This window comes from Homo sapiens, chromosome 4 (genome assembly GCF_000001405.40).
Source record: "Homo sapiens chromosome 4, GRCh38.p14 Primary Assembly".
NCBI lineage: Eukaryota > Metazoa > Chordata > Mammalia > Primates > Hominidae > Homo > Homo sapiens.
The window spans coordinates 69403314-69426060 of record NC_000004.12 but is presented as its reverse complement, the minus strand read 5'-3'; the positions used below and the strand labels follow the sequence as shown (position 1 = coordinate 69426060).

Sequence of the window (22747 nt, the reverse complement as noted above, 5' to 3'; positions counted from 1 at the left end):
GCATCTCACAAAGGACTAATGTCCAGAATCTTCAAATGGCAAAAAATAAAAAATAAAAAAATATTAAAAAAAATAATCCACAGGAGAAAACAAATAACCCCAACAAAATGTAGGCTAAGGTAAAAAATAGACAGCTCTCAAAAGAAGATATATAAATGGCCAACATATATGAAAAAATGCTCAACTTCACTAATTATCAGGAAAATGCAAATCAAACCCACAATACAATACCACCATACTCCTGAAAGAATGCATATAATTTAAAAATCCAAAAATAATAAAATATTGGCATGGATGTGGTAAAGAGGGGACACTTTTATGCTGCTATGAGAAGGTAAACTAGTACAACTACAATGGAAAACCATATGAAGATTTCTATAAGAAATAACAGTAGAAATACCATTTGCTCCACCTATCGCACTACTGTGTATCTTCCCAGAGGAAAGAAAGTTTTTATATGAAAAAGACCCACACACATACATGTTTACAACAGAGCTATTTGCAATTAAAAAAAAAGAATGGAACTAGCCTAAATGCACATCAACCAACCAATAGGTGGATAAAGAAAATGTAGTATACATCCATACACACACACACAGATGTTGCAGAAAGTCAGGGACCCCGAATGGAGGGACTGGCTGGAGCTGAGGCAGAGGAACATAAATTGTGAGATTTCATTTTAATATGGACATTTATCAGTTCCCAAATAATACTTTTATAATTTCTTACTCCTGTCTTACTTTAATCTCTTAATCCTGTTATCTTTGTAACCTGAGGATGTATGTCACCTCAGGACCACTGTGATAATTGCGTTAACTGTACAAATTGCTTGTAAAACTTGTGTTTGAACAATATGAAATCAGCGCACCTTGAAAAAGAACAGAATAACAGCAATTTTTAGGGGAGAAGGGAGGACAACCATAAGGTCTGACTGCCTGTGGGGTCGGGCAAAAAGAGCCATATTTTTCTTCTTTCAGAGAGCCTATAAATGGCCGTGTAAGTAGGGAAGATATCACCAAATTCTTTTCCTAGGAAGGACTATTTATATTAGTACTCTGGGAAAGGAATGCATTCCTGGGGGGAGGTCTATAAACGGCCACTCTGGGAATGTCTGTCTTATGCGGTTGAGATAAGGGCTGAGATATGCCCTGGTCTCCGGCAGTACCCTCCGGCTTATTACGGTGGGGAAAAACTTCACCCTGGTAAATTTGTGGTCAGACCAGTTCTCTGCTCTCGAACCCTGTTTTCTGTTGTTCAAGATGTTTATAAAGACAATACGTGCACTGCTGAACATAGACCCTTATCAGTAGTTCTGCTTTTGCCCTTTGCCTTGTGATCTTTTTTGGACCCTTATCAGTAGCTCTGCTTTGCTCTTTGGCATGTTCCCTGAGAAGCATGTGATCTTTGTTCTGCCTTTTGCCCTATGAAGCATGTGATCTTTGTACCTACTCCCTGTTCTTACACCCCCCCCACCCCTGCCTTTTGAAACCCTTAATAAAAAACTTGCTGGTTTGAGGCTCGGGTGGACATCACAGTCCTACCAATATGTGATGTCAACCCCGGTGGCCCAACTGTAAAATTCCTCTCTTTGTACTCTTTATCTTTATTTCTCAGCCAGCCAACACTTATGGAAAATAGAAAGAAACTCCATTGAAATATTGAGGGTGGGTTCCCCTGATACACACACACACACACACACACACACACACACACATACACATATACACACACATGCATATAGATACTATATATACATATATACCATGGAATACTACTAAGCTGTAAAAAGAAACAAACTAATGGCATTAACAGCAACTTGCATGAAGTGGCAGAGCATTATTCTAAGTGAAGTAATTCAGGAATAGAAAACTCAACATCATCAGTTGTCACTTATAAGTGGGATCTAAGCTATTAGGATGCAAAGGCATAAGAATGATATAATGGGCTCTAAGGATTCAGATGGGAGGGTGGGAGGGGGGCAAGGGATACTAGACTATACATTCAGTGCAAGGTACACTTCTCACATGATATGTGCACCAAAACCTCAGAAATTACCACTAAAAAACTTATCCATCTAATCAAACACAACCTGTTCCCAAATAACTATTGAAGTAATTAAAACTATGAGAATAAAATCAACCAGACAAATATGTTTAAATATCTGGAAAAAATAGAATTTGCTCATGAAACCAAAGATGTGGCAAAATAGTTAAATTTTACAGTAGGAAGCAGGTAACAGTGGCTATATTTCTAATTCCACATAATTTCCACTGAGAAATGACTTAAGTTCTTAAAACAGTAAACATTTGGCCATCAATTTTAGCAAAAAATTAGACAATAAAGCTGCATGGAGTGTAAAAGTGAAGCAATACTACTTATCTCAAAATATCAAAAGGCAGAGAGAAACTTTCTATACAATTTAACTATGTAATAGTTTCTTTAGCAACAGTTAAAACAACAGAATCCTGTGCAAAATGAAGCCAAATTATTCTGAGTATGTGCAAAACAGTACTGATACTGTCAGTAGACTTCTTAATGTTCTTGTGTTTATGTAAAATGTGTGAAATATAGTTAAGCTGAGTAATTTTTTTTCATGTAACTTGCGAATTAAAACAACAAATCTCAATATAAGTGCAACAAATTTCAATATAAGCTCATATGGCTTTATATTATTTTTTATTTTCCCTAGTGTTTTCCTCATTGCCACAAAATATTTCTAACCATTACTTGGGTGGTAAATCTCTGAAAAACAAATTTTCACTTGACAAGGTAGATTTCAAAAAGATTTTTTTTTGTCGTAGGAAGAAAGAAATCTTGCATCACAGTCTTTCTTGCTGGAATAAACTGAAGTCATCCCATCTATCAGGTTTTCCAGCTTCAAATGTCGGACATAACTAATCCCTTTTTTCCTTCTTCACTTTTCTAGTAAACTTCCAGAAACAAAACAGACAACACTTTGTGATGATAAATGTCACAGTTGCCACACAGGCCAGCAGAAACCCAATCACATCCAAAGAGTGGTACTGGAACCAGGTGAGGTCACGGGCTGCAACTCGAAGGTGTTTGGCTCCTTTGTGGCGCATGACAAATTCAATCCAGAAGACTGCTCGATCCAGGGGCTTCACTGGTTGATCACGTTGAATTCTTGATAATTTCATAACATTCTCTTTATATCTGAAGGACAAAAATAAAGATACCAACACTGAAAGTAAGTTAATTTGCCTGTACATATCAAGTCTATGAAAGGCTTTTAAAGTGTCCAATAATTCAAAGTAAATGTCAAAGAAATGACAGAGAATTTGTGTATCTTAATTTGAGTCATCATAGAAAGTTTGGCTTTTAAATTGGACTTTTCTAATTGACAAATATTTTTAAAGTAGAAATGGAAGACCAGGTGAGAAAGTTAATTTTTTTCAAGCAGAGAAAATATAAGGCATTTTAATTGTTTTTAATTGTTTAATTTTAAGTTTTTGTGGGTCCATATTAAGTGTATATATTTATGGGGTACATGAGATGTTTTGATACAATGTGAAATAATCACATCATGAAAAATAGGATATTCACCCTTTAAGCATTTATCCTTTGTATTATGAACAATCCAATTACACTCTTAGTTCTCAAACAGGCATATGAGTACATGCTCAACATCATGAGCCATTTTAAGTGCCGTAAGAAAGATTGTGAAAATGCGATGTGAGAATTATCATCTGTAAGTTCCTAAAAAGGAATTTTATCATGGCGAGTGACATACCTCATAGCTTGTCACTTTGCTTCTACATTACTCTTTTGTCTCCTTCTGTTTCCCACCCTGTAGCCAGAATGATTTTTAGAAATTAATGTCAGATTATGGCACTCTTCTGATTAAGATTTTTGCCTGGCTTCTCATTGTTTTAATCATAACATTCAACTCTGTTATTTGATCTACAGAACCCTACATTGTAAGACACTGGCAAGCTCTTATTCTAACACTTTTCCCCTGCACATTGTCTTCTAGATTGGCCTTCTAATTTTCTTTAAGCTTCCAAAGGTGTTCTCATCTTAGCACTTTACACATTTTGTCCCTTCTCTCCTGCTTTTGGAGTATTCTTTGTTGCTACAACCCAAGGCATGCTTCTCTCCCTTTTTGTGGCTACCCTCTAAGTGTTACCTCTAAGAGAGGCTTTTACTGGCCAGACTATGATGGAGCCTCTAGGATTTTCTCTATTTTCTGTGCTTATTTTCTATCTGATTCCTAGAATTTTGTAAATGATTTATATATCTCATAAAATATACATTTAAATATAAAACACAAAAGATAAATATACATACACTAAGTGAATAGTTCAAAAATGGAAGATCATCTTGAACATTATCTTGGGGTGAAGATACCAATTTAACTACTGTTCAGGTCACGGTATAGGCTATCAAAACCTGCCCAGAATAACTTTCTGTTTCTGAACCATTTAGTGACTACTTTTGTCCTCCAACTAAGGACACAACTAAGGATTAGCCTGACTTCGAATAACAACATTAGTTTTGCTTGTTTGTGTAATTGAATTATATAATATGTACTCATTAGTGTCTTTTTCTTTACTGTAGCAGTTCTTGGGTAATTCCATTGCTATGTAGTATTCTGTTGACTGATAAACCACAGATTACGTCTTTATTTTATGATGAATAGATATTTGGGTTGCTAACAATTTTTGGACACTGTTGATAATTCTGTCATGAACACTCTTCTATACAGCATTAGATTTATATATTTATGTATATCTGTTGGGTATATAATTGAGAGCAGAATTGCTGTGATAAAAGTGCATGAATACTTATGATTTACTTCTTGACTTTAAAGTTTTTTGAAGTGTATTTTGTTAATTTCCAAAATTTAAAGATATTTTAGTAATAGTATTTTTAACCTCCTTTATTTCCACTATGGCTGGATTATATAGTCTTCATAATATTGAATCTTTTTATACTTCCTAAGTCTTGATTTATTGCCCACCACATATCACTTCAAGTAAAGATTAACTACTTGACGTACTCTAGGAAAAAGTGTCTTCAAGTTGATATATACAATACATACATGTATATTGTTTATGTATATATGTGTGTGTATATCATTTTACTTTATAAGATTCCATTTGTTAATTGTGTTCTTCAAATGTTTTATGTCCTTACTCATTATTTGCTCTTTTATTAAAAGTCTGTTTAGATTGAGTGAAAGTATTTGTATAATTACATTTAAATCTACCACTTTGTTTTATATTTCTTTTCTATTTGTCCAAGCTGGTTTGTGTTGCCTTTCAATTATTTCCCATCTTCTTTAAAGGTATATTGATCATTCATTATCCTTCTATTTTCTTTGGGATAAAGTATTCTTAAAGTATTCCATTAGATGATACCCTCCTTACACAAAAACTTTATTGAGAGTAGTTATAAATGCTGAATTGATGGTAGCTGGACTCCGCAAGGAATTGTTCACATTGTTATCTTTGGGGTGTGAACAAAATCAATTATTAAAAATATGACTTAAAATTATATTTTTTGTGCTTCAAAGACCATCAAAAAGTAAAAAGTTAGTGCACCCAGAATGGGAAAAATATTTAAAAATTATATATCTGATTTGTCCCATAATATATAAATAGTTCTTAAAACTTAATAATAAGACAAATAACAAAGGTAAAAATGTTCCAAGCATTGGAGTAGACATGTTTTCTAAGAAGATATGTGAATGATCAATAAGCACACTTAAAGATTCTCAACATCTTCAGCAGTAATGAAAATGCAATCCAAGACCAGGATGAGAGATCATTACACCCACTAAGAAGGCTGTAACAAAAAGACAGAAAATAAAAGGTTTGGCAACAGTGTGGAGGAATTGGAACCATGTTATACTGCTGACGGTATTGATGAACGGAACAAGTACTTTGGAAAAGAGTTTAGCAGTTCTTCAGAAACATACAGTTCTCACATGAGGCAGCAATTCCACTTATAGCATCAACCCAAAAGAAAGTAAAACATGTTTATGCAAAAACATATATAGCAATATTCCTAGTAGCCACAATTGGAAACAATCAAAAGGCCAATGCACTGACAAATGAACAACTAAATTATGACATATCCATACTATAAAATATTATAGAAGTGAAAAGGAAATGAAGTATTAAAACACACAACCATATGAATTAAAATAAAAACCATAAAACAACACAAAAAGTTAGGCTAAGTGAAATGTCATTTACACAGCACCCAAGACTGTATAATTCCATTTATATGAAATATCTAGAGAGAATAACCTATATAGAAAGAAAACAAATTGGTGTTAGACTAGGACTAAGCAGTCATGAGAATTGATTTTGGTGTCATTGAAGTTTCTTCTGTGTTGATAAAAATGTTCTAAAATTATATAATGATGATAGTTTCATGACTGTGTAAACATAGTAAAAATATTTGGATTTTATGGCATAAATAGGTGGATTTTAAGCTATCGAAATTAAATCTCATTTTCAAGTCTGTTACAATGATGATAAAAATTAATTTTTCAGCAAGAAAATAATTATATTCTGAGTCATTTTAGATATTTAATTAAAACATTTTATTATATTATTTCAAGTTTATTCTTCCTTTCTACTATGGGTTCATTATGTTAAAATTTTAAGAAATGTATTTTTTATATTATTTATCATTTTAAAATTATTTTTGTTTAGAAAATTGTTTCACTAACTGGTTACTCATTAGATGTATGGGGTTCAAATACAATTTTTAAATAACAGATGAAAAAAAGCAGATTTCAGATTGGTTAAATTATTTAAATTCTTTCAAAATTACTCTCATAAAAAGGATGAAACTCATGCTCACTATTGACAAGAGAAGCTGTCTACAAATACCACCTAGTGAAAAACATTGTTCTACTCACAAAGGATCATTAATTACTGTCTTCAGTGCATTCAGCAGGTCTGTACTCGACATTGTGTGGAAGTCCAGTCTAACAGCTGCTCCCTTGGCCTTCATGTGAGCAATGTTATCAGGTTGATCCCAAAACAATGGAATGCCCACCATAGGGATCCCATGATAGATTGCCTCATAGATGCCACTTGCTCCACCATGAGTTATAAAAGCTCTGGTTTTTGGATGACCTAGGATTGGATGAATTTTAGCAAAATTATTCATAGGAATAAAATGAGATGCACAATGAAAGGCTCTGAAAGTGACAGTGTTTTCTAGATAACACATTGAACTAATTTGCTATTACTTTTCAGACTTCAGATGAAAAAGCACGTACTTGTTTAGGAGATGTAACTGAAAGCTATATGGTGTGTGTGACTTCAGACTGCAAAACTTAATACAAGATTTTCAGTTGCACTAATGAAAAGTGCATTCTAGATTTTTTAAATGTGCACAAAAGAGGACAGCAAAGAGATGGGCATGAAATAAAGTTTTATTTTAAGTACAGTCACAGAGTGTGATATGCGGGGTATGCAAGGCAGCAGGCAGTGGGTTGTTGGTGGTGCTAGGATTGAGGAAAGACAGGTTACACTTCATCATGAAATGTGTCATTACTTTAAGATTAAGATTAGGAATTTAGTCCTCCGGAAAATACAGAGTCACTGGTGATAGAAGAGCTATTATATTTAGTGGCATTTGAAATAACCCTGCAGGAGAGGAGAAAACAGGTGTAAAGCTGTAGAAATAGGAGACAGAGAGACAGCCAAGGAAGATATTGAAAAATTCTGTGAGATATAATAACACCTGAAATAAAGATTCTCTCTGATTCTGACCATAAAGAATGTGAGTGTGTATCACAAAATGCCAACAATTATAGTATATTCTTTTCCCCTAGGACTGGAAAATAAATATAAAGAAGTTCCTTTTTGTTTTCCTATAACAAATAATCAATAAGCTTGTTTCAAGATGAACTATTAACACTCTAATGTGCAGTTACTAATATATCCAGTATTTGTTCACCAGAGTGTTACCTAGAAGGTCATTCTGGGGTATCCACTTGTACAGCCGAGTATTGAGACCTAAAGCATCTGGTTTATTCCCATCAAATCTCCACAGAACCTGTTACAGTAAAGAGAATATCTTATTCCATGAGTGGAACTCAAAAATTATAGAATGTTAGAACTGTAAAAAGGGTAGGAATGAGATCAAGGGATGTTAGTAAATAAATCTACTCAAAGACTGATGTAAAAACAATACTCACATTTTATTTTCTTAACTTTTATAATGATTTAGATATATAAGAAACCATGATTTTCCAAAATAGTACCTTAGAAAAATAAGATTATCAATGAAAAGTTCAAGTATTTAAAAAATTGTTACACTTTTTAAAAAAAGACCTACCTGCGGCCAACCATCACATGAAGAAAAAAAATTAACATCACAGATCATTAGAGAAATTCAAATCAAAACCATAATGAGATAGCATCTCACACCAGTCAGAATGGCCATTATTAAAAATTCAAAAAATATCATGATGTTGGTGAGGTTATATAGGAAAGGAATGCTTATACTCTTTTGGTTGGAATGTAAGTTAGTTCAACCATTGTGGAAGACAGTGTGGTGATTCCTCAAAAACCCAGAGGCAAAAATACCATGAAACCCAGCAATCCCATTACTGGGTATATAACCTAAGGACTATAACTTGTTCTTTTATAAAGATCCATGAACATATATGTTAGTTGCAGTACTATTCACAATAGCAAGGACATGCAATCAACCTAAATGACCATCAATTATGGAATGAATAAAGAAAATATGGCATATATACACTACAGAATATTATGCAGCCATAAAAAAGCAAAAATATGTATTTTTGCAGGGATAAGGATGGAGCAGGAGGCCATTAGCCTTAGCAAGCTAACATAGGAATTGAAATCCAAATGTGACATGTCCTCACTTATGAGTGGAAACTAAAAGATGAGAACATGTGGACACATACATGGCAACAACATACACTGAGATGTATTGGAGGGTGGAGGGTGGGAGGAAAGAGAGGATCAGGAAAACTAATAAACAAATATTAGTTTTAATACCTGGGTAATGAAACAATCAGTACAGCAAACCCCCATGACACAAGTTTACGTATGTAAGAAACCTGCACGTGTACTCCTGAACTTAAAATAAACGTTAAAAATAAAAGTTAAATTAATTTAATTTAAAAAATAAAAATATTCTAAAAAAAGTATAAAAACTTATAAGGAGTCATTGTAATTCCAGTGTAAAAAAACAGTAACTATTTAGTAATGACCTATATGTTTGTTTTATGTATTTTATATTAGTCTTCATCTCCAAATTTAATTGTAATGTATTCATTTATTTTTGAATAATATGAGAAGTTGTTTAAATATATCTACTTGTCGGTAGGTTATTACATTAGAGCCTGTTGTCCTTTGATTGACAAAATAGCAAGTCTGTAAAATAAGCTACTTATAATAAATAAATAAATGCTGCCAAGGTGTTATGTATAACTTCATTGGAATTACAAATTATCAAGCACTACTTCCAAGAAAAATTTCAAGTGACAATTTTAGACACAAATTCAGAATATTACCGTATTGTTAATTTTTTTTTTTTTTTTTTTTTTTTTTTTGCCTAGAAATGAGGAACCTGTTGGTATCATGAATACAAATAAAGCTGTTGAATAAACTCAAAATTGTATTTTGCTGAATTTGGTCAACTGATTATTAACACTTAGACAACGAGCTACAAACTTTGACAACAGTGATTAATATGTTCTGCTATAGCCAAGACATTTTTATGTTTAAGTTACTAATTTTGAAACTCCAAAGCAATCCTCACAAACTGAACAATAATTTACAGTGTTTAACTTTTATTTGCTACATCAGTGTTAAAGTAACTCAGGTTTCAGCAAAAAGTTAGAGGTCATTACAAGAAAGCTTTATCAGATAGGAAATTAAAAAGTAATTCACAAATACACAAAGGTCCCTTGTTTATTCTATATAGAAGAAAATATATTCCTACTGTGTTCTATGGAGGGGGCATCTGAACCTGTTCAACTGCCTGGCTTCCTTCTGTTTGACTCCTTCCTATATTTCCTTCCGCTGCCTCCATTGGGAGGGGTTGTTAATCTGGTAGTTAGTGTTGAGTCCTTGTGGGGCCACATTTTATACTGGACAGGATCCACCTTCAGGTCAGGATCCATCTCCATCCTTTCTCTTTCATCTTCCTGCTTCAGGCAGTGTTCTCTATTTGTTGTCACATATTTCACATAAGCATTTGACTTAAAGTACAAACAGAAATAGTACATTCCTTAATTGTAAACATTCACCAAGAGCTTCCAGAGTACGGTAAGTAGTAGAGGTGGCCCAAGAGTAAGTCAAATGTTCTTCACTCATTGGATATTGCTGAGATTAGGAAAATTGTTTTGAAGAAAATTATCATAAGTCTTCCTTGTATTTCTACAAAGATGCAGTTCTGGATATGTATTTTTAGTTGAAAACACCTGAAAGTCATTCTAAAGATTACATTAAGCACCATTTTCACTTACCTGAACTATATTGAGTTAAATTCAGCAGTATGTATGACTGTTAATATTAGAAATTAAAAATAACCATGAGTCTCAATTCCCTTTTGTGGATACATATGGAGTACTGAGTTCCCACTGATACTAATAGGAACCACTCATGCATAACAAGGGCAGTAACTACCCCAGGGCCACATGTAACCACTAAGTCTGAGGCACAACTATTACTTGTGTCAGTGGAAGCTACACAAGCATATTTAAGGCTGCATTTGGCTGTAAAGAGTTCAATCTACTCTTAATATTCTTTCTATGTAGATCACAAACTTTAACAGCCTCTTTCAGTAGTTTTCCACACCAGTAAGGCACTTTATCTTACCTTTTGTGGGATCTTGGCAAGGGCTGTTGCAATTACGTTGGCCCTTTCTGCTGTCATGTTACTGACCATTGACCCCAGAGAAAACACCACAACACCATTTTCTCCAGAGCTCTGTACAAACTCCTCCATTTCCTGTGAAAAAAAAAAATTGTTTCATCACAAAAGAGTATCACCACAGCAGGCACTACTGAAAGAATTGGTACCAAATATTAAAGAGAGAAAATCAAGTATTTTGAGGAATTATTGGAGTTAATAATATTTTTTAACTAAATCACTCAGTTTCTTTGCAAGAAGATGTTTGAGATAGTTGGCCTCTGTTAAGGATATTTGTGTAAATATGTGTGTATATGTATGTATGTGTCTGCATGTGTGTAATGGAGGAAAGAAATGGAGCCATTACATTGTAGTCAGCGAGATAATGTTAAAAAATATACCCAGACCCTTCACTTATAATACTATAATTACTAATATAAGTTCTTGGAATAGTGGCACCACTCGGCTTTAATCCTATGTTTTTGTTCTACTAAATCACTTGTGTTTATTTCAGGCAGGTTTTCTGTAGAATTCTTTTAGTTTGAAGACATTAGTGGTTTTCTTCCCTAAATATGAGCACTGAGGAAAAGCTATTCACAGTTGGGATAATTTTATCTCTACATTTATGTTCCTCCAGAATGCTTTATGCTTCACTTAAAGTTTGTCAGAGTTTTCCAGTAGTTTTTCAAAAAATGAAAATAAAAGCTGGTGGTTAAGAATCACTGACATTCCTGAGTCTAGTATTGTGATTTGGAATTTTTATGAATCAGTCTTGGGAGTCTCATTTATCACATGGAATTGTAGAGTTTATAGTTAGTTGTTGAATAATTGTACCTTTCAGGTTATTGTTTAGGTGGAACACCTATTGCCCTGAAATCACACTGTTAAATTGATGTGCTATTTCTAACTGCATGTGAGGAACTCTCATCATCACTTTGTTGTGTCTCAGAGGCAGCACTGGCACCAAAATAGAAGAGGCCACCAGGCCTTTCTTCAGGGGGATCTTGTCTCTCTTTTGAGTAGCTCACGCACACCACATTACACTCCTGGTGAAGATGTGCTTGGCTGCAATTGATTGAGAATTATTCTGACTTGAGTTCCCCAATGTATACCAATATTTAAATTTAAATATTTTCAGATTTAATCATTGGGGTAAAACTTTTCCAAATGTTTTTTAACAAAACAAAGAAAAAAAAGTCTAAATGTAAACAGTGCATCACATATGGCAGAGTGTTTTCTTAAAATATGATTTTTAATCTTACATTAACGTGAGAGTCCTTGTACTACTATTCCACGTAATACCTGGGGCTTCTAGGTGTTGTATGTGATTGCAGTTACCTGTAGCCACATTTAATGTAACTCGTTTTCAGTGTTTCATCTCACTGGCTTGATACCAGAGCCTTGTTTTTCTACCAGGTGTTGAAGGAATCTAACCTCTGTTTAGAGATTCATCACTGATATGGACTGCTTGTTTCTCCTTTTGTGATAATATTATAAAAATAATACAAAATTAATGTAAGAAATTTTATAAAAGTATGAAAACCTTTTTAAAAGATAATTTTTCTAAAATTTCTATCTAGAGGTATAATTTTTAGAAAATATGTATTTTTTATTATGGATTTTGTCAAATTTATATAGGTCAATGTATACATGTGACACTTATTTAGAAAATTTTAATCTTATTGTATATACATTTCCTCCTGCAAAAACTTGCCATCTTGCTATATTTATCATTTTCTAATTCACTTTGTTTGTATTATGGCTGAAAGTGTAACTGAACATTTCATTGATAAAATTATTTTAATGCTACTATATGCACATAAGTTTTAATCATTCTTTCGTATAAGATGTTGGATTACTTCTAATGTTAATTTTGTGAATATTTTCCATAAGGTTTAATAGATACACCTTGATTTTTTTATGATTTCACGTGAATATATTATAAAATTAATAACAATATGCATTTTTAAAACACTTGATACATTTTGTCAAGTGTCTTATTCTCTTAAAATATATAGAAATTATCTGAGAATGTAATATATAATTGAAAAGAATGCAACCTGGGTTAGCAATTGTTTTACATAATAAACAATCAAAGAAGCAGTTTCACAACAATTGACTTGCATTCAAAGCTTTCTGCAAGTTAATAACAAGACCTACTATTAGTAATTACCACTATTGTACTACTAGTCAACCTTTTTTCTTGTCCTTCTACATCTCCTACTCTCTTCCTCCTCCTATTTGCACTGTCAGTTTCCCTTAATGTGAATGGGGAAATCTTTCAAGAGTAGTGTTGAGTGGCATAGATTTTTCATTAGTCTTACCTCAGCTTTTGTCTCTTGAGAAAGTGACTATATAAAGCCCATACAATTTGCATTAAACAGAGATACTGAGTTTTAACAATGGAATAAAATCTCAGTTTTATGTAAGCAAACATGTTCTTTTAAGAGGTTGCATAATCATGCATTGAAGAAGGCTTTCTTTGTACGTATGTCTTAAAATGTGATATTAATTTAAAATATATGTGGTTTTTGTGTTCCTTCAAAAAGAATATAATCTTATATGCTGACAGAATTTTTTTCGTATTGAAACTAAGGGCACTATTCAGATACAAGTGGTAGAAATTATTTGGTCTTTATTATACATGCATTGTTCACTATCTCTGTGCTTCTCTGTCAGGCACCTATGATGTTGAGACAAGTTCCCCCAGGAAGCTTTACTGAGTTGCTTGTCATAAGGCAGACATCGTCTGCTCTAATAGGGTATGTTTATGATCTAAAATGTTAAATTCTGGGATCTCAATGCAGAATGATTTAAATACTTTATTAAAGTCAAGTGAACCCTGGGTTTGTCTGCACATATTTGAGGTACACATTTATATTGCTGAGGAAGTGTTTTAAGCTGGAATACTGGTGAAGATCCCTATTACTTATGGTAGAATTTTAGAATTTCAAGCAGCTCAACTTGCTGTCACAATTGATATGTCTAATTTTAATCAAGTCCACAGGGTATCTGTCATCTATGACTTTCCAAGAGAATATAACCTTGATGTGCTGAATAATCTGGTTCTCTTAAATGAGGAATGATATCTCAAGTGACTTACACATATTAAGTAGTTAGTAGTATTAGTAATAATCACAAAATAACCATAATGCAAAATTAATAACATTTCTGAGTCACTGACTATATGCCAGAGACATTTTAAGTGTTTTGTCTGTTTTAATATTTTTTCCACACAACAAAATATGAAGTTGGTACTATTTTTGTAAATGTAGGCATAATTATTTCTATCAACATTCTAGTCTACTTTTCCATCATCTGCTACCTGAATCCATGCAAAATTTCCTGAATGGTTGGCTCTTTACAGTGTGGCCCTTCTGTAATTTAATCCATTGAATATCTTGGAGGCTTTTCTTAAAAAAGAGAATCGTTTCATATATATTTATTTCTTAACTCTTTTTAGTAGTTTTTCAATATTCTTAACAAATATTTCCACTCCTAATATGTATCTGGCTCTAATTTACCTCTTAATATCATCTGATTCTTAATCATTCCCTGAAAACAAAACCTGAGGACTTGAGAACTGTCCTGACCACTTTATCTGCTTTCCCTTTTTGTCTGCCCCTCCCCGTCGTTCTTTTACCTATTCCTACATATTGTTCAGCTCTCATCTTACTAATCAGTAACTCCAGGATACTTTCTATTATCTCCACTGATGCTTTCTTGACATTGGGTTTTTCCTTGAGATAATAGTTTTTTATAACATTTTCATTAATTACTTATAATCTATATTTCAAAGTAGAATGTAAAGTATGTAGGGACGGAAACTGTGTCTTTTTTTTTCTCTGAAATTTCTGCACTTACTTGTGTTTTGTGCTAATCCCTTTATAAATATTCTCTGAATGAATGATCAATACCTTCTTAGGTGTTGCATAATCAAGACTTTACTTTAACCAACTCTATTTTCAAAGTCTCCTTACTATTCCTCTCTCTCTGTAATATGCATAAAACTCACATATGTGTGATGGTATTAACATGTACATGAGTTTCTAATTGGTATCTGCTTTACACCACCTACTTCCCATCTTTCTTTCAGTGTAAGTCAAACATTCTGAATGAAGACTATAGACTCATTTCTACTGAAACTTCGAAGCCAACAAAATAAAACCAACGAAAGCATGTTTACCTTAGGTAGGGGTTTGGCAGGTTTGCAGTGAAATCCTCCAACAAAATCAACGTTTGGTAAGAATGGATGAGGAAACTGAAAATTCCAGGAGTTTCGCATAAGCCATATGTCAGCTTTCCCCATTGTCTCAAATAAGGTAGTGGGTCTTCCTGACAGGAATAAAGAAAAGAAAAAGTGGATGACGTAAGACAGTTACTTTATATAACTTTCTCAAAGGGGTTAGAATAACGTAGGCAAAGATGTAGGTAAAGTTTGTGTGCTTTGAAAAATATATACATATATTCATATATATGAATAATATATTTTTATGTATTATATATTTTGCCCATGTTTATTTATAAGAAAGGCAAAGTGGTGGGAGAATTATGAGGTTAAGCTACATCTCTAATGTCATGTCAGTATACCCATAATTATTAAAATAAGTCATAGATAATTAAACATCAATTTATTTTCTCTTTAAAGCTTCAATAGTAGCATATAGATATTTAAACAACTCTTTGAGCTCCATAATCAATTAATTCTACTGTACCCATAAAAACAATTTTCTAACAGTCTGGTTTACACAGCTCATTTAGCTAATCCTTTTATCCTTGGTTCTTCAAGTGAACTCTGGACTATTTTGAGAGTATGGCAGAAATCCTTGTACCAACTACTCATTTGGATTTGAGCTAAGATCTTAATAATATTATCTTTTAAGTAAATATATTTGTAAATTATAGCTAGATATTTTTGAGAAATTATTGAAGTAGAGATCTGTACTCAACCTTAATCTGTCTCATATTTTTAAATAAAGAGACATAGTTTCAAATAAACTATATAGATCTAACAACCTTCACACTTCAACAAGATAATTGGACTTCAAATGAATGAATTCCAATTCTTTAGTGAAGGAGTATAAAAACATTAGAAACTTCAAATTACCCTTATTGATTTTTGCACCTGAGATGTAGACATTATCTCTCTCTACTGTGAAGGAAACCTTCTGGTAACATGGGAATATCTTTTAATTTCTAAATAAGAAAACTGAGATTTACAGAGAAAAATTTCTGCAGTAATATAGATAGTTGTAGAAAAATGTATAATTACTCATTCTAAATCTATGCATTTGGTAAGATGTTACTTGATGGATTTTACTGTTTTTAAGATCTAAAACATTATATAGTAAAACAGATGTGTAATTGCTTAACGTCTTAGGTGTACTAATATTTGTTTATGATTTCCTAGCGTGTTCTATGTGAGAGATGGCCACAGGGTTTTAAGAGACCCCATAATTTAAGATTTTCTATAATATTTGTGAGATTGATAGATCATCTTGTATTTTCATTTCACAAATTCACTTACCAAAAACTCCACTTCCCTGACTTTATGGCTTTATATAAGCTCTGCTTCAAAGACACAAATAAGTTAGATATTTATGTTACCAACTGAAAAAATTCTTACCTAAAACTTCACTGTAAAACTGATCCCACTTCTTCATATCACATATTTGGAACCAAAAGTCAAAATAAATCACATAGATCATATTTTTTACCCTCTCCATGAAAGTCATTTGATCACTTAATTTTGACATAACAATAGGTATGTAGGAAGGAGGGAAAATCAGTCCTCCACTGTGCCTTTCAACTGTGTAGCCAGGAGTAAAGCGGAGACTGTACACAAAGGGTATGTTAAGTAGCGCAGCCAGCAGCTCACCACAGGGAAAAAAAGCATCTGCAAAAACGATGTCAAATCTTGACTCTAATAGTTTTTTCATAAGTTTCTTATTTGAAATGAGATCTTTACAGAATTTTCTAAATATGTCATGTAATTCCTACAGCATTTCTTGTTCTTGTGAAAAATATAACCAAAATGTATCTTTTGGAATGTCTGACCATCTCTTAACCTGTTGCATGACGATATTCTCAAATTCAGTTTTAGTTAAAGATGTAGGATAAACTTCGAGTTTAAGAGTGGATGAGTCGTTGGGATCAAAAAGAATGGAAGCTGAAGATGCCAGTACAGTCACCTCATGACCTCTCTGAACAAGCTCTTTCAGGATTGTCTTCATATTCATCCAAAGGCTGTATTCTGTGGCCCAAACCAGCACCTTTCCACAACTCCCAGAGCTAAAGTAACAACTGAGATGTATCAGCAGAAGAACTGAAGCCCATTTCAGAACCATCCTGGTGCAATGTGATCATTCTTTTCAAGTCACTGTTTCTTTCTCATACTTACATACAGAGATAAATCAATCAAGTTAAAACATAACTCCCTCAATTCAAAGTAAATACATTATATGAACATCCTGAGTCCATGGATGGCAAGGAGACAAACAAAGTTCGGTTGCTTCATATTTACTCAAGGATGTTTGATGTTTCTTTTATATTTGCTGTCATCTACCTAAGATTAATGACCTTGCAAGTACCCTGTTTTATACAATGTATTTTATAATGGTGTCAAGAACAGTGGCAAGTGAGACAGTCCTGCAGGGCCCTTGACACCAAATAAGAGATAAAGAGATTGTACAATGCAAATAGCATTTTTGAATATCGTAGTTCAAGGAATACCTTGTAAAACTTTGTTGAAGTATAATTCAAATACCATATGATTCATCAATTATTATTTAAAATTAAGTATTTCCTTGTAAATTCACAGATTTGTGCATCCAACATAACAATGAGTTTTATCTAAAAAAAAAGAAAATTCCTCCTGTATATTAGCTCTCTTCTCCCCACTGAATTTCTGCATCCATCCTGCACTGGGTAACCAGTAATCTAATTTCTGCCTCTAGAAATACACCTATTCAGGATCTTTCTAAAAGTAAATGGAACGATATAATATGTGGTCTTTTGTGGCTGCCTTCTATTATTTAGTTTAATGTTTTTAAAGGACCATCCATAGAATAGTGTAAATAAGGACTTCGTTTCTATTGCCAAATAGTATCAGATGCTATTTATAAATACAATTTATTTATTCATTTATCAGTTGATGGATATTGATTTTCTTCCACTTTTGGCCATTATGAATAACATTGATTAACATTGATGTACATGATTTCTGTGGACATGTTTTTATTTTTCTTGGGTATATGCCTAGAAAGGCAATTACTGAATTATGTGTAAATGTAAGTGTAACCTTTTGAGGAATTGCTAGACTTTTTCAGAGTGAGTGAATAATTTTCTATTCTCACCAACAATGTATGAAGGTTTCAATGTCTCCACAATCTTGCCAACCCTTGTCTTTCACATAACCAAAAAGGTTATTTTTTATTTTAATTTATAAACACACTCCAACAGACACAAAAAAGGAAGGTTTCTTTCCATATATTGGAGGGAAAAGTGAATAAATTAAACACTAACTTACCTAATACTTCACTGTAAAACTGATCCCACTTCTTTTTGTTAAAAATCTCAAATGCAAAGTCAAAATGAAGAAAATGCAACAGACTTTTCACCTTTCTACAAATGTATTTTTGTACTAAGTTCTGATATGACAACAGTTACATCAGAAGGAGGTAATGTAAGTCCTCCACAGAGTTCTTGGTACATACTGCCAGTTGTAAATTGATGATAGTAGACCAAATGTATAACAAATGTTTAACAGACTAAGCTGTTCAGATAGCAGCTCACTACTGAGAACTGACATCTGCAAGAATGACATAAATTCTGGAATCCTGTTCCTCATAATTTTCTTGTTCAAAACAGCATACTCAAAGAGCTTTTGAACAGTATCAGAACATTCATGATATGTAGTTTTTGCATCTTTGAATCATATGCCAACAATGTACTCTTTGGAAACTTATACATCCATATATTGATCAATTTCATAAAAAGGAAATCAAGTTCATTCTGAGTAAAAGATGTGGGATAAACCTCAAATTTAACAGCAGATTGTTGGAATCAATGAGGATGGAAGCTGAAGGTGACAAGCACAGTTACCTCATGGTGTTCTGAGCAAGTTCATCAAGTATCAACATTAAATTGATACAAAGACTGTATTTCATCGGCCACACCAGCACATTCTCGCAGGATTCAGGGCTAAAATACAACTGTCAGCATAAGAAACAAAAAAGCCCATTTCTTAGACAACTTGTTAAAATGCTATCTTTCTTTATAACTTTCTCTAACTTGGTACATATCAATATCAATCAATGTCACAATGATTTAAGTATTGACAATAGAGGTTTTGGAAAGCAAGTGAATAAAGAAAAGGATGAATGATTTTGTGTTTGTATGTGTGAATAATCAATTTCATTCTTATTGTAAATGTGGCTGTCTCCAGAACAAGAGATAATTTAATTGTATATGAAGAGTTTCTAGTATAAGAAAGCAGCATTGTGTCAACAGTGAGGCAGTGGTGTGATCTATTCTTATTTATCTTAACATTCTCAAATAGACCGTCTTCATTTCCTCTATGTATTTTCACAATTATGATATTAGCATCATTTCATGTTTCTTGACATTGTTTTTGTGACTATAGAAATTCATTTTCTTTTTATCCAAACAGATATATTTTAAGTATAATTACAGTTACTTTGCTTCATTTGAAAATATTTTGTCTAAATCACAATATTTTCTTTTTCTGAATATTTGCAGCATTCCTTACGTTTCTCACTCTTAGAAAGTATTTATCTTCTAAATGCCTACTCCTGAACTTGTTTCACAGATTGCCTTGTAATTCAGGTAATTTGTACTTTTAAAAAGTCTCACCAGAAATTTACATCAAAGTAGAATTAGGAAGGAAAAGATGCATGTCACAAAATAGACAAGTTTGTTTTTATTCTATTAATAATCTGCTAACCTGAAATGAGATAAGTCTTTCTTAAAAGGATGTTGGAACACAATTTCTGAGCAAATATTGCCTGCAGAGTGGCAATATTGTTCAATATTTTTAATGTCCTTGAGTGCATGCATTATATGTCACCCAGATTTTTCTTTTGGGAATATAGAAATTACTTTCCAGCTGATGAAGTGATTAACAACTGACATACCTCACCTATAAGCTCTCTCTCTCTCAGTACAGCGCTGCTGAAAGCTATCTAGTATAAAGTGACCTTTCCAAGACAGCCCATATCCAATGCCTGGTCATATGTAAGACTCTAAAGGCCCATCTTCCTCATTTCAACGTGGACCAACTCTGAAGGGCTAACTTGTCTTCAGAACTCCCAGTGGGTGAGATGAAACCGATGCTGAGACTGCATGTCTTAGCATGCTCAGGGTGCTATACAGAAAAATACCATACATTGCCTAGCATATAGACAAAAAACATTTATTTGTCACAGTTCTTGAGGCTGAAGTTTTCACAATCAAGATGCTGGTATTGGGCATTCCTCCAAGATGGCAGCCCATCACCATGTCTTAATGGGGAAAAGAGATGAATGAGTTCTTGTGAGCAAATTTTGGAATGGAATTGATTCCACTAATGAGGACTCTGCCTTCGTGACCTAAACACCTCCTAAAAGGTTTTGTCTGCTAATACAATCATTTTGGTTATAAGAATTTTAACATATTAATCTTTGGAGCACTCAAGCATTCAAACCATTGCACTGAATTTTATCCTAATTTGTTCCACAGTCCAGTGTTGCTTCCTACTTTTTCACAGATGTTATTTTCAATAAAACTCCTGAATTATCTCCCTCAAAAACATATTCAGCTTAGAGTCTACTTCTTGGAGCCACCCAGCATTTGAAAATATGTACCAAGAGAGGTCAGAAAAAAAGAACAGACAACAAAATGAGATTTTAGAGTTGGATCATTCACTACCAGTTGTAAGGAGAATCCTATCACTATTGGTAGGGAGAACACAAATAGACCCTGGAATGTGATAATTTAAATTTTTCATACTTTCAGTAATGGCAAATTATGATGGTAATCTTTTGAAAGGGAAAGTGTTACTTATTAGGATATATCCCAAATTTATCAATATGAGAAAAGTAGAAATTATGACCACAATAGAGGCAAATGTTTTTTTCTTCAGAGTTAATGCTTGGGAGAAAATAATAGAAGAGTGAGGACTAATAACCATCAAATTAAGATAAACGGTGAAAGCCAGAAAAGTCTCCTTGGAAGTGTTCCCAGAAAAAGGGGCCTTGATTCAGACACCGAGAGAAGGTTCTCGGATTCCACACAGGTAGGAATTCAAGGTGAGTCACAGAGTGCAGTGAGAAAAGATAGTTCATTGAAAGCTATGACATTACAGAGTAGGGCATCCTCTGAAGGCAAGGAGTTGAATGCAACACCTTTGCTTCAAGTTTTTCTTATATAGGAGACTTGTCTCTGTAAAGGACCTATTCACAAAGGTCCCTGGATTTTGTCTGCAGCTCCATCTCTGTGCAATCTCTGGAGATCCCTCTGCCAGTCCACATGTCCTTGAAGGTATGGAGCCCCATCTAGCCAGAATTCCAGATGTCTACAGTGAGAGGAAGCTGTTTACTATTCCTTTCACTCACCCTTCCCTAGAAACAGCTCAGGGTAGAGAACCAGCTGTAGTATTCAGGCACCCCATTCAGCGTCCTCAGCTTTCTTTCTCTTCAGCCTCGGTGACTACTTCTTTTCTCCATCCACATTCAGTATTTTCTCTTCAACGATCTGTTCAAATTATGTTGGTATGATTAAAAAAACCTGGTGTTCCCCTGTTGGCAGTGGCACTTCCTGACTGCATCTAGTTGATCATCTTGAACATTCCTGTGTATATATTCTTTTGAGAATTCTTTCTTGATGTCCCTGCCCCATTTTTTAATGGAGTTATTTGTGTATGTTTTGTTAATTTGTTTAAGTTCCTTATAGATTTTTGATATTAGGCGATTATCAGATGCATAGTTTACAATTATATTCTCCCATTCTGTAAGTCATCTGTTTATTCTGTTGATAGTTACTTTTGTTGCACAGAGGCTTTTTAGTTCAGTTATGTTCTATTCTCCTGATTTGTTCTAGGGTTTTATAGTTTTAGGATATTGTACTAGCCTATTCTCATGTTGTTACTTAAGACATACCCAAGACTGGGTAATTTATAAAGGAAAGAGGTTTAATAGATTCACAGTTACACATGGCTTGGGCGGCCTCACAATGATGACAAAGGCAAATGAGAAGCAATGTTATGTAATACATGGAGGCAGGCAAGAAGGCTTGTGTAGGGAAACTCTCCTTTATAAAACTATAAGATCTCAACACACTTACTCACTATCATGGGAATATCATGGGAAAGATGTGCTACGATGATTCAATTACCTCTCACGAAGTTCCTCCCACAACAGGTGGGAATTATGGGAGCTACAATTCAAGATTAAATTTGGGTGAGGACACAGCCAAATCATATCATTCTTCCCTTGGCCCCTTCCAAATATCAGGTCCTCACATATTAAAACCAATCATGCACTCCCTTCAGTTCTCCAAAGTCTTAACTAATTTCAGCATTAACTCAAAAGTCCACAATCCAAAGTCTCATCTGGGATAAGGCAAGTCCTTTTTGCCTATGAGCCTAAAAAACAAAAGCAAGTTAGTTACTTTCTAGATACAATGAAGAAACAGGCACTGGGTAAATACTCTCCTTCTAAATGGTAGAAATTGGCCAAGACAAAGGGGCTCTGTGATGCTCTGGTGGGCATCACAGTCCTACGGATATGTGATGTCATCCCCAGTGGCCCTGCTTTAAAATTCCTCTCTTTGTACCCTTTATCTTTATTTCTCAGCTGGCCAACACTTATGGA

At 33.6% G+C, this 22747-nt stretch overlaps 2 pseudogenes; both read right to left on the bottom strand.

Annotated features, from left to right (window-relative positions):
• Positions 1 to 2486: 2486 nt before the first annotated feature.
• UGT2B24P (UDP glucuronosyltransferase family 2 member B24, pseudogene) lies at positions 2487 to 17250 on the bottom strand (annotated as a pseudogene).
• On the bottom strand, positions 18154 to 19084 carry LOC100422029 (UDP glucuronosyltransferase family 2 member B7 pseudogene; annotated as a pseudogene).